Source organism: Homo sapiens, chromosome 1 (assembly GCF_000001405.40).
Source record: "Homo sapiens chromosome 1, GRCh38.p14 Primary Assembly".
NCBI classification, from domain to species: domain Eukaryota; kingdom Metazoa; phylum Chordata; class Mammalia; order Primates; family Hominidae; genus Homo; species Homo sapiens.
In genome coordinates this window covers 176929567-176946970 of record NC_000001.11, presented here as the reverse complement: position 1 = coordinate 176946970, position 17404 = coordinate 176929567, and the positions used below count along the sequence as shown (strand labels likewise).

Here is a 17404-nt window from a genome sequence, read left to right as displayed (position 1 = left end):
CAATGAGAGACCCAGATTAAATCAATATTCTTTTTTAATGACAGCCTTATGAGAAAAGTTCTTACTTTAGCTAAAAAATGTAAATTCTTCTCACTATAACTACAAATAAGGTCCAATTAATGACTTATGAGTTGCTGACCCATATTTACTAACATTGATGTTGCTTTTCCATCCTAATGAGGAGGATGCCAAGGAAGCAGTTGTTGGTTAATGGTGCACATGGCATTCACACTGTGTGCCCTAGGGTCTATTTAGTTCAGGAAGGCTACTCCTAATGGAGGAGGAGTTTTTATGGGTTGATATTGTGTTTGGATACATTCAAACAGTACAGTGCCAGGAGATGATAAATCTTTCTAATTTCTTAGTTGACTTATCACAGGACCAGATTAGAAAGTTATTAATTTCTTAAGCATGGTGTCATTCCTTTTGCTGCCTTATTACCCTTCAAACAAATGCAGGGTCTGACCATGTAGATGGTTCTTAAGAAAAGCTCTAGAATATCTTGGATTTAAATGTGCTAACTCATTTGCAAGCTTATCTTCAGTGATTCTTACCCTGACCTATTTGGGTAACTGTACAGTTATTAGAGGAGAGGCTACTCTAAAGTTCTGACAGCACTTCTCTGCACAGCAAAGGTGAGAGATTTAGTCTGATCACATGATGAAAGGAGCCTCAGTTTACAGGCTTAAAAAAACAATGAGTCAAAATCAAATTGGAATATAACTTGGAAATCTAATCTTTGGTGATCCAACATGCTGTCAAAGGCATTTCCTCCCAATATACGGGGTTGACTTGCCTGCATGGGTCATTGATGGAATAACTTCTTATATTGAGCTCTCCTCTGTGCTAGGTGCATCGAGGACTACAAGCTTGGTGTGGATGGACGCTCTTGCCAACTCATCACGGAGACCTGTCCAGAGGGAAGTGACTGTGGGGAAAGCAGGGAGCTTCCCATGAACCAGACCCTCTTTGGGGAGATGTTCTTTGGTTACAACAACCATTCCAAGGAAGTGGCTGCCGGACAGGTGCTGAAAGGAACATTCAGGTAAACCTCATATACATAGAACTGATTGTTCAAGACTGTTGGTGGACTTTCTCTAAAGAGTTTGCACTAGCATAAAGCTTTATATGTTGGAGCAGGGTAAATATGATATGTCTAAAGGGATAGACTACATTCTTACCCTTGGTCTTCTCCAAGTCTACATTCCTTCTTCCAGAATCCAAGAACCATGCTTAGTTTGGATTAACAGTAAAGTGTTAAATGAGATTTTACTTTGCCCAGGCAGGGACTGGAAGATTTTGCATGGAAGCCCACACGAAAATGCTCAAGCTCCATTTCCCTATGAATGGAAGCATCAGTGTGTGAGTCAGTCTAGAACAGCAGTCTTCACAGTGTCATCCAAGGATACCTAAGGGTCCCAGGAACCCTCTTAGGGCATATCCAAGGTCCTGCCTTTTCCAACTACAGAAAAGCTGAATTTTCTTCCCAAACAAGATATTACCATAAATTGAATTCAGATATGAGAATCCAGCTATCTTCAATTGTTAGATATTTTTTAAATTTGCAAAAAATATAAAATATTACTTCTCTCATGTTTTATAAAATATGTTAATATTGAATGAATTCATTGTTTTTACGTGAATTAATAAATTTTTAAAATTTCTATTTTAACTTCTAATATTGTACATATTGATAGACATAATTGGGCCTTTTTATATAAATATAATAAAGCTACTTGGGGCCTTCAATTATTTTTAAGAGTGTAAAGGAGTCCTGAGAATAAAATGTTTCAAACCATTGATTTAGAATATTTCTAGGTGGTTCTCCATTCAATGCCTGTCCCTGTTCTGCCTTGGACTATTTAAATACATCTTCTTAGAACCCATGGGAAAATATTTTCTGGGAGATGATGATGAGGAAGAGGAGGAAGAGGAGGAGGATGTCAGTATTATGATATGGACCAGCAGTTGACAGCAACCTGGGCCTAGACCCTCATGAGCAAACTGATAGTCAATTTTCAAGACAGTTTTTGGAATCAGCTGCTTTTTCTGTTGTAGACAGGAGACATTACTAACATTTCCCCTTTTAGCCTGGGAATTGGTTTGCCAAAGGCAAGAAGTGAGGTGTCATCACTAATCTAGTGGTGGCTGAAGTCTTCACTGTAGTCTAGAAATGAGACTGCCTCTGCCTAGATCTTGTCGAGAGGAGGTCAGGAAGTAGGGACTGAGTTGGGAAAGAGGAAAGCATAGTCTTTACCCTTTTGGTAGATCTTTTCAGCTGGTTTATTTCCCATTTCCGCAGCCCTCACCCCACCAATCATACCCATTACGTCTTACTCCGACATGTATTTACAGTGGGGTTCAGGTGAGGGGAACTTCTTGGTTCAGAAAGAATTTTACATTGGGAGGCCATTTACTGTGGCTCACGCCTATAATCTCAGCACTTTGGGAGGCCAAGGTGGTGGGTGGTTCGCTTGAGCTCAGGAGTTTGAGACCAGTCTTGGCAACATGGTGAAACCCCATCTCTACAAAAAATACAAAAAATTAGCCAGGTGTGGTGGCACATGCCTGTAGTTTCAGTTACCTGGGAGGCTGAGGTGGGAGGATCACCTGAGCCCAGGAGGTCAAGGCTGTAGTGAGCTATGATTGTGCCACTGCACTCCAACCTGGGTGACAGAGTGAGACAATGTCCCAACAAAAATAATAATTTTACATTGTGGGTTGAAATTAGCCGGGCGTGGTGGCACATGCCTGTAATCCCAGCACTCAGGAGGCTGAGGCAGGAGAATTGCTTGAACCCTGGAGGCAGAGGTTGCGGTGAGCTGAGATCCTGCCATTGCACTCCAGCCTGGGCAACAAGAGTGAAACTCCGTCTCAAAAAAAAAAAAAAATGCTCAGTAAGGAGTCAGGTTCACCTGAACACTCAGAAATGAAGGTCTACCCTCTTTCTAGGCAAAACAACTTTGCTCGTGGTTTAGACCAGCAACTGCCAGATGGTCTTGTGGTGGCCACTGTGCCCCTGGAGAATCAATGCCTAGAGGAGATCTCGGAGCCCACCCCTGACCCTGACTTCCTGACTGGTGAGTGTGCCTTCTCAACCTTATTCAACTGGCACAAACAGGCAGCTCCCTGCAGTTTCATAAAATTAAGATTTGACCTCACTTATTTTGGTTTCTAAGCCAGTGATTTCCTTCATACACAATAAAAGCTCAGCCATAAAACTGAATGCTAGTAGGATTATTTTTCAATAAAATTGTTGATATTATCATATAATCTCCTTCAAAGTGGTCCTAATAGTGTATTTTCTTGTTAGTTTCACAGAGATGCATTGAAAACAAATAAGATAATGGTTGCTTAGAGTTCTTGGGGGATTAGAGGAAGTGACCAGGTCACAGAGGCAGAGAGAGAAGCTAGATTGCTACTCTCACCTAAATATCCATCATTGCTACTGTTGGGTTTCCTGGCAAGTATTTACCAAGCATCACGAGGAAATAGAAAATGACAGTTTTGTTGTCACATGACCCTGGGTTTGCATCTCTGCTACTTTCTAGCTGTGTGCCATTAGACAATAGAGTCTCATGTGGCCTCATGGTCCCCCATCATAAGATGGGGATAATAATGCCTGCCCCTCAGTATTGTTTTGAGCCCAGCAGTATTCTTCCTTCAGACTCATTGTGGAACAAACACACAGATTAATTAGAAGAGGCAGGAATCTCTGGGTATGCTTGCCTGTGTCTCTGAAGACCCCCAGCTGGCACCTCCCGGACCAAGGAAGAGACTTCAAGGTGTCCCATGGACTAATGAGAGGCGGCTGACTGAGATTTGGCAACACTTGCTAGAAGACTAGACATGAGTTCAATTCCACTGATTGCTTTGTACGTTTCTCTGTTACACTTCTCCCTATTCATTCTGTCTTCCTTATTCAATACCTTTGTAGACCCAGAAAGTCTGAGACAGGTCTCAGTTAATTTAGAAAGTTCATTTTGCCAAGGTTGAGGACGTGCACCTGTGACACAGCCTCAGGAAGTCCTGACAACAATGTGCCCAAGGTGGTAAGGGCACAGCTTGGTTTTACGCATTTTAAGGAGACATGAGACATCAATCTATATATATATATATATATATATATATATACATATATATATATATACACACACACAAAGTACATTGGTTTGGTCTGGGAAAGGTGGGACAACTGGAAGCAAAGGCAGGAAGACTCTAAGAGGTGAGGGGGCTTCCAGGTCACAGATAGGTGAGAAACAAATGGTTGCATTCTTTTGAGTTTCTGATTAGCCTTTCCAAAGGAGGCAATCAGATATGCAATTATCTCAGTGAGCAGTGGGGTGACTTTGAATAGAATGGGAGGCAGGTTTGCCCTAAGCAGTTCCCAGCTTGACTTTTCCCTTTCGCTTAGTGATTTGGGGGGCCCAAGATATTTTCCTTTCACACCTTCCTCTCCTTTTTCCCTCCTTTTCTGAAGAATGAGTTCAGCTAAGGGTAGGTCTCTTCCAGACATCAAGTTATGTTAAAAATGTGAGTTTAGACCTGAATGGGAAGAGATGTAGGTCTGTCTGATATAATATAGCATAGTGATTAACAGCCTCAGCTCTGGAGCCTGGCAGCAGGGCTTAGCTCCTCACTGGCTGTGTGATCTAGACACATTACTTAACTTCTCTGTGCCTCAATTTCTTGTACCTGTAAAAATGGGCATTCTAATACTATCTTCCTCATAGGATTGATATGAGGAATAAATAAATTCATATTTGTAAAGTTTTTAGAACAGTTCCTGACCCATAGTGGGATCTATGTGTGTTGAATAAATAAATATTTAAAAGAAAAAGGAAAATAGTATGAAAACTATGAAGTAATATCTACCTTATAGAAAAGAAAGAGCAAGAGAAAAAACAATTAAATATATTCTGGACCAGCAATAAATCTCTTCAAAATCAGTTGCCCTATGAAATATTACATGCACACGCGCACATGCACACATACACACACCTGAAGAAATTAACTTGCAGCTTCCGGACATATCCCTAAAGCCTGCATCTCTGGCATTAGGGAATCTAGTTTCCTTGTTGCCACACCATTTGGGCAGACACATTCCACATGTGTGTGTAAAATGCCTTGAAGACGTGCGAGGTGGCACATACAAATAGCGTAGGTACCACACCAGTAATAAGATACGTGGCTCTGTTTAAAGATCTGCAGGACACCTCTCTCACAATATAACTTATGGTGGAGAGAAGAGATTTTACTTCAGTTATGAGATAGCCAGAAAAGTCCTGGATGTTACCTGAAGCTTTTGGGGAGGAGAGGGTGGATAAAGCTGAGAAACATCAGAAAAACATGTGGTTGACTCCCCTTCTGTGGGAACAAGGAAAGATCCAAACCTGGTGCTCATTCACGATAGAAAGTACTTCCTGCACATGCCATTGGACCTCCTAATTTGGCCCATTGGAGGCAAAAGGAATAGAAGGATGCCCAGATGGGACACTTTTATTTTGATGATCCCGAGGCAGTCAAATTTAAGCTTCAGATGACTTTAGCCCTAAAATCCTCTAAGCTAAAACTATGGGAATCTTGACCTGGCTACTTTTCTACCTTGCGTTTGTTTTTAACCTATTTTTGTTAAGAAGTGGTACCAGTTAAGCCAAGGTCACATATTTCCTTTGATGTAAGCAGGGATTGGGTTTGTTTTAAAGCTGAGAATAACTGGAGGAATCTATTAAAGAGATACTTGGCCAAATCTTCCCCATGTTATCTCTAGTTCTGGGAACATTTTAATTATATCTTTCCTAGACTTACATAGGGAATCTTATATCATTTCACTGTATCTACTATTATAGGTCATAATTCCCATAAATTTAGCTCAGAGGATTTTAGAGCTAAAGTGATCTTAAGAATCTTCTATATCATCATTTCCAAGCATTTGTTTTTATTTGTTGTTTTTCTTATGAAAAGTCAGAGCTCCATTCATAAACAGGTTCTGCCTTCAAAGATGTTTGGAAAGAGTCTCCTCCTCTCAGCAATAGACAACACCTCGACATTAGAGAAGTTTCCTAGAAGCCCTGCAGTAAAGAAATCCTTTTCACTTTAAGCCAGCAATTCCCGAGTCTATTTAACTAGAGAATCATTTTCACACATAACACCTATTTCTATCTTGCAGAATTATCAGTTTGAAGAACACACTGGAAAATACTGAACTACATGTCTTATCTTGCTGCTGGCTTCCCTCTTCATCAAAATAACAGGACTTTTTGGTGTTATATGTTGTATGGAAATAAACAAAGACCAAGCAAATAAGAACAGGCAAAGGCTATTTATTTGGAGGTTTGCTATAGCCGTCATCACTTGTATTTTGGCAGAGACTCAAAGGCAGGCAGAGGAGTGGAAAAGCTTTAGAGAGAAAAAAGGAAAGGCTTCAAGTATGCCCATATTGGAGGCTGTCGGTTGAGAAAGTTGTAGGTGGCTTAACTAGAAGTGAGCATCCTATGTGATTAGTTAGGGGTGCATATTGTACTTTCTCTGGTTGGACTTAAGTGGAACTGGGAAAAAAATAGGGAAGTTGTCAGCTATTAATCAAGTCCGGGTTGTTTGGTGTCAATTGTTATAGTGGTTATTTTTTGGCTTCTTGGGCTGTTTGTTATGGATAGTGGTCTGACTTCCTATAAGTCTGACTTACAGATAGTAGACTGGCTTCCTAGGCTGGTTACTCTAGATAATGGGTTGGTTTTCTGAGCTGGTTGCTGCGGATTGTGAGTCAGAGTTCTATTTTTATGTATAATCTGGCCATTGTCCATTTGTATATTCAGTCTTTCAGCTGAGAAAGAGAAGGAAGTCCAGAGGAGGTAGAGGAGGCTGCTGGCTGCATTCATAGGCCTGTTGGGTGACACAGTCATTAAATCTGTGTGAAGGTTTAGACCTCTGGGCTCTTCAGAATTTTTTAAAGTTCATCCAAAGGGGATGGACTCTTGGCTTCAGAACTTTGGGGCAATATACATATATCCCTGACATTTCAGATAAAATAACAAGAAAAAGCTAGTGTCCTCCCTCCATCCTTCCCTCCTTCCTTCCTTCCCTTCCTCCGTCCCTCCCTCCCTCCCTCCCTTCCTTCCTTCTTTCCTTCCTTCCTTTCTTCTGTCCTTCCTTCCTTCCTTCCTTCTTCCTCATTCTTTCTTTTTCTTGCTTTGAATATTGCCCGTAAAGTCTGTTCAGTCATTCTTTTTTCAAGCATAGGTAGGAAAAATTAATGTTTTTTCTTGAAAAAACATAGTCAGAGATACTGCTTGAAAAAAGTCATTCAGCAGAAATGTGTCCCAAAATAATAAAAATTTTTTAAAAAATTGAACCTGACTGCCTGTCAAGGGCACCTTGAGAAAGTATGTCATATGGCTCACCTAGAAAATATATATCTTTTAAAATACCCCTTTCTTTTTAACTAATGGAATTATTATCTGTACGCAGGCATGGAAAAACACTTCCAAGCATTAACAGTTATGTAAGTGTTCCCTGACTATGGTGTGGCATAAATGCATCCAGGAGAAATGTTGATCAGCTAAGTAATGGAGTTCGGTTGTTTGGCCCATTCTGGATGGATATGGAACACTGTTATCCCTCCCCTCTTCCCCACCCAACATCTGTGCTTGTTTCTTTATTTTATCTTCCCTCTGTTGTTCTGGACTTAAAAGCCGAGGAAGTTATAACAAAAGCACCAATTAAGAAATGCCAAGTTTACGCAGTTAGGTATGATGAGAGAGAGGTAGGGAGGGTGAAGATGATAACATTGTGGAGGCCATGTATGTGTATGATACTATGATACTTTCTCTTTTCTCAAAGAACTTTCTTTTTTTTTTTTTGAGATGGTGTCCTGCTCTGTCACCCATGCTGGAGTGCAATGGCGTGAGCTCAGCCCACTGCAACCTCCGCCCCCTGGGTTCAAGCAATTTTTCTGCCTCAGCCTCCCTAGTAGCTGGGACTACAGGCACCCAGCTGTTTTTTGTTTTTTGTTTTTTTTTAAGTAAAGATGGGGTTTCACCATGTTGGCCAGGCTGGTCCCAAACTCCTGACCTCAAGTGATCTGCCTGCCTCGGCCTCCCAAAGTACTGGGATTATAGGCATGAGCCACCACGCCCAGCTTTCTCAAAGAACTTTTATGCCCATAATTTTATTTTGTTCTCACAACCTGCCTATAAGGCAGATAGGATGAATACTATTATTTACACTTTTCATATATGAAAACACAAGTAAATGAGTGGCCTCCCTAAAGTCATATGACTGGTAGGAATCCAAACTGAAAAGAAAGCAAGAGATCATCTCACCTAAAACTCTCACCTTACAGATGAAACAACTGGGAACTGAAAGATCCCTGAGCCAGGTAGCCAGAGAGGATAGTTAGGTTGCGAGAACAAGAAGTTATGGGTATGAAAGTGACTGTCATTTTGAAACTGCCTACTGCAGCAACACAGCCAGCCTTAGAGCTCAGGCTTTGTGATTCCTTTCCTGTTTCTTTTTCCCCTAGGAAATCATTCAATTAAAGGTGGCTTTGCCTAATAATTTGAAAAATTTTTATTTAGTGGGCTTGTTATTTTTTTATAAATAAACTTTTCAAACTAAAAGCAAAGCTGTTGAGCTGACCTAACTAGACAATACTTGTTATTAAATAGTTCTACATAGATGCACATCTTATGCTCTAATAAAATATACCTTTAAAGCATGTGACTGAAGTCTTAAACTTGTAAAGTTAGAATTCCATTTGTATGCTTTTGAAGTTAACGTAGAAGTTAAAAGCCAAAGTATGTAATAGTATGACTGTTGGTAGTCACAAAGATTAATGCCCTGAAAGAATATTTGAAAGAAAAGAATACTAAAAACCTTCTCTTAGTTTCAGGTAGCTTACCTTTGATTGCCTAAGATAAAATTTAAGCAATTGATTCACTAAGCACCTTTCCTGACCTTTTTTCTTTTTGCCTTACCAAAAATTATTCCCATATGATTCACACAGAAATGAAAATTTGGCAATTACTCACCTAATTTGATCAGGGTTGACAAGCAGCTAATTAATCCTACCTACTCTTCATCCAGTTTAAGCATTAAATTAGTTGATTTAGCCTGAAAGAAACATGGGTCGAAATGGCAGGATAATTCACTACATATGTATTATTGCCATTATATTTGTAGACATGTGCACACACCACACATTCTATGCATAATATATATAAATTTACTATATATTGCCCTTATATTTGTATATATATAAATATGTACACACATATGCAATTGTGTGTATATATTCCTATAACTTACACATATAGCAAAGATTAAGCATAGAAATAAAGCTAAAATTGGTTTTCTAAACTTAGCAAGGCAATTTTTTTTCCTATGGCCTAATTATTTTGTTTCGGTAGCATTTATATTTATAGTAATGGCTAGAATTCAAACAGGGTGACACTCTTTCTTCAAGGTACTCAAGGAAGAATAGCCCATTAATAACATCACTAAGAGGCTGTAAGTTTGTGTTTATTGAGAGTGACCTTGGACAACTAACTTAACTTCTCAGAGCCTCAGTTTTTCCATTAGTAAGAAGGAGACAGCACACGACTATCACAATGTCTGGCACAGAGATGGCACTCAATATTTGGCTGTTCCTGCCCCTTAATGATTTAGTCACCCTGATACTGTTCCTTCTGGTAAAGAAGAAATAAGCATTATCTGCCTGAGAGAAATTGAAACTTAAATACTGAACACAAATCAGTTAAATGAGACAGAAAAATCAATGTTATCAGGTATGTGGGCTGAGTCAATTACTGCAACCATTAAAGAGAGTAAAAATCAGGTGTATTACAGTAAGCCTAGAGTTTAATATAAATTTGCTATGGGGATATTATAGCAGAATGAGTAAGAACTGCCGCCTGGCCTCAGACTCATCTGGAGCCCCATCCTGGCTTACCTGGTGTCTTAGGGACCTTATCTTTTTTTGAAGTACTTTTACGCCCCCAATTTTATTTGTTCTCACAACCTGCCTGTAAAGTAGATAGGATGAATACCATTATCCCCACTTTTCAGATATCAAAATGCGAACAAATGAGTTGCATGGCCCAAAACCATACAGCTGGTAGAAATCCGAATTGAAAAGGAAGCAAGGGGTCATCTCAGTTAAGCCTCTCGCTTTACAGACAAAATGACTGGGCACCAAAAACCTATTTGCCAGGTAGCCAGAGAGAGTGTAGTCAGGTTTTGAGAACCAGAAGTTATTGTGTGTGAAAGTGACTATCATTCTGAAACTACTTACTACAGTAACATAGCCAGCCTTAGAGCCTCGATTTTCTCATTTATAAAATTCAAATAATAACAACTGTCCCATGAGGATCAAATGGCTTAATATATGTATGCAAAGTGCTTAGCAAAATGCCTGGCATGGAGTAAGGGTTCAATAAATGATAACTGTTGTTACTATGGTTCCAGAAATTCTCTTCATCAAAGAACATTTAATCATTTTCTCACAATTACAACACTTCGCCTCATAGAGGTGGGTCATGCTTTTTGATTTGGAACTTATGAATCAGTATCAGAACTCAGCTTACATCTCTTCTGTCCTTAGGGATGGTGAACTTCAGTGAAGTGTCTGGGTACCCTGTGCTGCAGCACTGGAAGGTCCGGTCTGTGATGTACCACATCAAACTCAACCAAGTGGCCATCTCTCAGGGTGAGCACTGCTGCAGGCTATCCTGCCCACCTTCCCTGGAACTTAGAAGTCCTTTCCAAGGGGAGAAGCCTTTGGTCCCACTGTCGAAGATGCAGCCTAAAATGTAGCTATTGCATGAGATGTGTGAGCTATTTACTCAGATTTATCCAGAAGAGCAGATGGCTAGAATCGAATTCTTTTCTAAGTAGAGATTACATTGCATGTGTTATCTTGGACTACAGAAGAGAGGGAAAGGGCAAGACTGGAGCCATTGAAGGTATAATTTTTCCTGGGCTCATCCAGTATGTGGAGAGGATACATAAAAGCAGATTTTTTACAAATTGAGAGAATTAAGCATTCCAAATGCAAAGAGCATAATTTAGAGACTCCATACAATGAACTAAAAAAAGAGAGCAAGAAAGAGGGGGGACGGAAAACCAGAAAGCAGCTTAACGCTCCTAAACAGCAAGTGAGTGAAATAAAGAGACTGAGAGATTGAGAGAAAGAGAGAGAGAGAGAGAGAGAAAGAGAGAGAGAGAAATAGATATTAGCCCTCTCTTTATAGCTAGTAAGTTAAGCAGCAGTGAGTTCTAAACTTACTTAGGGTTTCAGAGTCAGCAATAGGGAGGTAGAGCCTTAGGGCCAATGGGAGGAAGATAAATGGTAGAGGACAAATAGAAAAGTTATGAAGTTAAGTGAGACAGAAACTCACAAAGGGTAAAGTTTTGTGCATAAAGATAATGCATTGAGGATATAGCACATTTTCATAGGACACAGGGGACCCAGAACTTTTTCTTTTTTAACACAAAAGAGTTCTTGGCAAGAAGTGATTAGGATGGGGACCTCACTGACAGAAACTCTTCTGGTGCAGCACATCTAGAAAGAACTAAGCTACTTTTCATTCTAGGAAAATACGATATTAGAGACTTTACTCCATTTACATAGTCAATGTGCACCCAGCACAGATGCTGTGCATATCAGGAGTTAACAATCAAATATCGCTGGTGCCACATGCCGTCCAAAGTCACACAATGGTGTCGCTGTGATGTGGATCTCAGCACCTGAGGTCTCAAGCTGAGCTAGACTTTACTTTGCCTTAATAGGAGACAGGTACGTAGAAAAGGAGACCGTGAAAAGCTAGCTAGATCCAAAAGGTATTGGATTTGGAAAATTTACCATAGGCCATCTTTCAGACAGATATACAGTAATTCTCTTAAAGAGAGACAGCAAATCCAAGAAGATTTGCCTGCAGGGTTGGGGGAGAGGAGGCCAACAAGTTTTCTCTTCCATTTGTCATTTCCCAGTCCTTTTATTTTAGAATTTCTGCAATAAAATAGGAGTGTATTAGTGACTTTTCTTTCCTTTCTTCTGTCATTGTCTTCTTATTGCCCATGTCTACGTCTGAAGGCAGTATTTTGCAATTGCCTTTTTTGATCACTACCCACAGTTAGAATACATTTTGTATCGTGACCTTGCGCGTACACATACTCCCACATGCACACAACAGAAGTTTCATGAAGCGATACTTATCTTCACGATGTGAAATGTTCTCGGCTGGTATTTGTGTTTCTGTTTTAGACTATGCTAATTGTTTCTGCTTTTTTCAAATGCTATTATTTGAACTCACTAAATTGATTTAATGTCATGACCTGTGATTTAAAAAAAAAAAAACACATTGATTTAAAGGGGACAGGAGTAGAGGTTTGGCAATGTTTTGCTTAACTTGGCACAAAGTTAATACAACCAACTGGCTTAAAAGATACTCACTTAGGAACTGAAATGTCTCATTTAGCTAAATGGAAACATTCACCAGACACTTCTAGCTAGCTCTCCCACATCACTTTGAGCCACACAGGCACTTCCATGTTTGGGACTGAATTGCCTGGGAATCCGTATACCCAAAATCTGAGCCCTCATTCTTACCCTTGGGTGATGCCTCTCCATAGCCCTCAGCAATGCTCTCCACTCGCTGGATGGGGCTACATCTCGTGCAGATTTTGTGGCGCTGTTGGACCAGTTCGGCAACCATTACATCCAGGAAGCTATCTACGGCTTTGAGGAGTCCTGTTCTATCTGGTACCCAAACAAGCAGGTCCAGCGGCGACTCTGGCTGGAGTATGAAGACATCAGTAAAGGTGAGTGGCATGCTTGTTGGCAAATTCCATACCTCATGCCAGTACTGGCTACCTGCATACAATCTATAAGACCCATTTTAAGGAGTCTGTAGTAACGACTCAATCAGATTTTCCCCTAATGCTCTGTGCCCATCTGTAACATTTCCAAGGTTTGGTTGCAAAAACCAAATCTCAAAATCAAAATGTTTAGGGAATTTTAGATGCAGAATGGGGTCAACACTGTAAGCTTACTATGTTAGTTATCACAGACAGAGTCCTCTAAAGGTTCTTGCCAGCCACCATCCATTTTGCTACCCTAGGGAGGACAAAGTATCAGACTGCTTGTATAAAGTAGGAGAGAAGCAGCAGTGAGCGTGGTTCAGTCTCCAGGAGTCACACCCAACTCTGCCTGGAATCCCTTTATAGCAGCTACATACATAGTAAACCCCTTCTTGCTTCATCCTGCCCTCTGCATAGGCTCATTTTTCCGACTGATTTGTGTTATGAGGGAATCTCTATTGGCCAAGTGTTTATATAGCTCTGAATAACAGCCTCACAAATAAATCTTTGTCTACTGTCTTGACAGCAAGTTAGTATTCAGTTCAAGTAAGTATAAGAAATTGGAATTTTTTATACCTTCTTGATTCACCCTCTGGTATAGCAGGCATAGTGGCCAGTATATTTGTATCTGATCAACCAAGACTGCTTTAGAATTGCCATTCATGGAATTTCTCTTGAGTTTATCCACATGGCATTCTGATGAGGCCAAGTTGTAGATATGGGACTTGCTAAAGGGCAAGTGATGAATTAGCACAATAAAAACTCAAGAAATGGGCCATCTTAAGACTTAATGACCAAGGAAGGTCTCCTCTGAGACAAGGGACCTCTGTTGTCAGCAGGACTGCCACAGGGGCAAGTATGTCTCTGTGACTGAGGTGCTGTTGGTTCTCTGAGCTCCACACAAATTCCTGTTTTGCCTTGCTGAAGAGGTAGCAGAGCTATGATGGCCTCTCCTCTGGCTGGGCACTTTCTCCCAGAAGAAACAAGAGATTTGTGTCTGGGCTACAGTGGCTGCAGTCCTTCATTCCCCTCAAGGCTTGATTCCTGTGAACTCAGAAACAAAACCACAGGCTTCTGCTATCTCTTCAAACTTTAGGATCTTAACATTGTTCTGATTCCAATTTGCCAAGAGAGCAATGTAATATAAGCAAATGTAGATACTACCAGTTCCAGCTGGCAAAGCTTTCTTATGTTTTCATGCCAGAGCCTGAGGACTGAACCAGAGGGCTGAATCCTCTTCTATTTCTGTTTGCCAGTGGTTCAAGGATTGCCAGGGTCTCAGATTTCTGGGAGATAAAAGTCTGACCCTACCAAGAGCTCCTAGTTCTAGGCCTTGCCTCTCTCCCAAGCAATGCAGTGTCCTTAAGGTTAAATACTGAATCCAAGAGGGAATTCTGTCCACGGTCTTGGCATTATGCCCTACTTATCTTGATTGCAAGCCTTTCTTGCCAATCAGGGGCTAGTTTTGCCACAGTCTAAGTGTTGACTTTGGTTCTCTGAAATATGGTCTATATTAAGCTCCTTGCTTGTTACTAATCTTAAAAGGCATTCAAACATTTTAGTAGGTCTACGTCAATCTCTATTTACCACGTTAATTCCTAAAACTTACCTCTAAGTTATAGGGTTTATGTGTTCTCCTCTTTAGTCTGGTTCTTTAAATATATTTCTCCTCCTTAGTTATCAATTTCCTTTCATTCCAAAATGCAGCAAAAGGGAATGTCACTGATAAAGAATGATACGTGCGTAAGACAAAGGGAGATATTCTTCTGTCCTGCTCTCTGAGAGGGCTGATACAGAACGGAACTTTACCCTAGGAATGACAAGTGTGCTGCAAGGGCTATACCTTCTGTGACATGCAAGGGACACTATTTTTGGATTTGAGTCCTTTGATTATATGTTATTGCCTACTCTGACTTGAAAACCCTTCTAGTAAAATGAGTTTCTCTGTTTCTTATTTCTGTACCTATGACTAGATACCTAAAATTACGTATGGATTGAATAGGAAAGGAAGTTTACCAGTGTGAAATGAAATGGAAAAAGCACAGGACTTAAGGATGGAAGTCTAGAGTCATCCAGGTGATATTGCTTTAGTCAATCACTTATCTGGACCTCATCTGTAATGCCCTCTCTAGTTCTCCAGCCCCGACAGTTTAGGAATCCTTATGAATCTTCCTTTACATAGGATGTATTCTCAGGTTAGGTATTTGGTAAAAGTCTCCCCTTCTCTCTACAAAGTCATAGAATTCTCATGAGTAGGTTCTTTGCCTTATTCAACTTTAAATTCCAAGAGCCACAGAGCCAAGCACATGGTAAGCACTCAAGGTGTTTGCTGTTGCTGTTGCTTTGTTGTCACGGACAGTGGTGATGGTGGTAGTAATGGTGTAAAAGTTCCCCTGAGGTGGTGACTTCCATGTGGGTTTTATTGCAGATATGTAACTTGCTTTAGTTATGCCTGACTGAGGAAAATTCAGAGATGAGTGTTTTGGGCCAGATCTTCAGAAGGCAGCCTCCCATTTAACAGGCACTTATTTATCATGCTAACACTATGTGGTTTGCCATACCAACATTGAGGATCATCTTGCTCAAGGTAAGTCTGATGAAGCCTTTTTATTTATTTATTTATTTGTTTATTTATTTATTTTTTCAAAGACAGAGTTTTGCTCTTGTTACCCAGGCTGTAGTGCAATGGCGTGATCTCGGCTCACCGCAACCTCCGCCTCCTAGGTTCAAGAGATTCTTCTGCCTCAGCCTCCAGAGTAGCTGGGATTACAGGCATGCACCACTATGCCTGGCCAATTTTTGTATTTAAGTAGAGACGGGGTTTCTCCGTGTTGATCAGACTGGTCTCGAACTCCCGACCTCAGGTGATCTGCCCACCTCAGCCTCCCAAAGTGCTGGGATTACAGGCGTGAGCCACCGTGCCCAGCTTCTTTCTTAGTTTGTTTTTACAGAGCAAGTAAAACATTTCAGAAATGAAATTTTCAACCTCCCCGTCCCCATGTCTAACCTTATTCATATCTTCTCCCATCGTTCTTTGCCCACATGCCTCAGAAAAGGTCGTGAGGTTCTTCGTTTCCAGACTAACTTCTCCACCTGCGTGCCGGCGCCCATCCCTCCCTGCTTCCTCTAGACCTCACTCCTTCATTACCCTCCTCCATTTTAATCTTCACAACCTCTTCAGTCACTGAACTCTCTCTTCTCCAAACTTGTATCTTCCTAAAAAATAATCCTTTTATAAACACACGCCCCTCTTTACCGCTGTACCTTTTCAATGTATTAGCACCTCATTTCTTACAAGGGTAGTTTATACCTCTTTTCTCTACTTCCTCACCTCCAGTTCACTCTTCAAATTATCACTTTCAGCTGTTTTACTCTACAAAAACAGCGCTGGAGAAGGAAGCCTACCCTACAGCTTCTTAATTAGAGATTCCCTGATGTCAATCCTGTGACCATCCCATGTATCTCAGCAGAAGACTGTGTCCCTCTTTACCAGGGCAGCTTTCTTGAAAATCCTCTCTTCTCTTGATGCCCCAGATGTAATTCTGTCCAGATTCTTTTCATAAATCTTTAGCCTTTATTTCTCATTCTTTTTTGCCCATACTCCTCTAAAGAAACCATGTACATCTTGGTCATTTCATGGGGTTTTGTCCTTAGTGAGTCTCTCCCTCCTACTGCTGGGCGCTGTCCTTTTGCAGCTACCTCTGCTGTTGCTCCTAATTCTCTCCTTTTTTCTGAGGCTTGAAACCTCCTTTGCTCTTGAGTGTTTAGCATTTCTACCAGGAAATTCTCCAGGCACCTCAATGATGGATGCTTTCTTTTCTCTTCCCTGTAAGTACTACACTGTGGTAGATTTGTGAACTCCATTGATGGGTCACAGTGTGGAGTGAGGATTCCTTCTTGATCCTCCTCTTTACTCTCCACATTCAACCATTACAAAGTCCTTTTCACCACCTAAGTATGTCTTCAACAGGGTCTCCTCTTCTCCATTTCTTCAAGGTTTTCAAAAACTATTGCAATCGTTCCCTCGTGTGTATCTCTTCCTCTTCCGTTTCCTGCCACTCCACTCCATTCTACAACTCACCATCTGTTATCCTTTTGTTTTTTTGAGACGGAGTCTTGCTCTGTTGCCCAGGCTGGAGTGCAGTGGTGCGATCTTGGCTCACTGCAAGCTCCACCTCCTGGGTTCACGCCATTCTCCTGCCTCAGCCTCCTGAGTAGCTGGGACTACAGGCACCTGCCACCACGCCTGGCTAATTTTTTGTATTTTTAGTAGAGATGGGGTTTCACCGTGTTAGCCAGGATGGTCTTGATCTCTTGACCTCATGATCCACCTGCCTCGGCCTCCCAAAGTGCTGGGATTACTGGCGTGAGCCACCGTGCCCGGTCTGTTATCATTTTTAAATGCTATCTAATGACATCACTCCTCAGCTTTAAATCCTTCAGTAACTCCTTTCTGCCTTCTCAGCACGAACAGCTGACTGCACTCCCTGTATTAGTTTTCTGTGGCTGCTGTAACAAATTACCACACACTTGGTGGCTTAAAAAA

At 40.9% G+C, this 17404-nt stretch overlaps 1 protein-coding gene across 7 annotated transcripts in view; it reads left to right on the top strand.

Moving 5' to 3' along the window:
* The window catches only part of ASTN1 (astrotactin 1), a 307392-nt gene that overhangs the window by 217742 nt on the left and 72246 nt on the right, over positions 1 to 17404 (top strand). For 5 of the 7 annotated variants that reach the window (NM_001286164.2, XM_017001341.3, NM_004319.3 and 2 more), the window contains exons 13-16: positions 851 to 1045; positions 2953 to 3080; positions 10601 to 10705; positions 12631 to 12819. In NM_001286164.2, coding sequence (NP_001273093.1) covers positions 851 to 1045; positions 2953 to 3080; positions 10601 to 10705; positions 12631 to 12819 — 617 coding nt within the window. Of the gene's footprint in view, positions 1 to 850; positions 1046 to 2952; positions 3081 to 10600; positions 10706 to 12630; positions 12820 to 15286; positions 15446 to 17404 lie in introns of all 7 variants that reach the window. The other 2 variants (XR_001737193.3, XR_921796.4) reach the window with 1 other exon arrangement.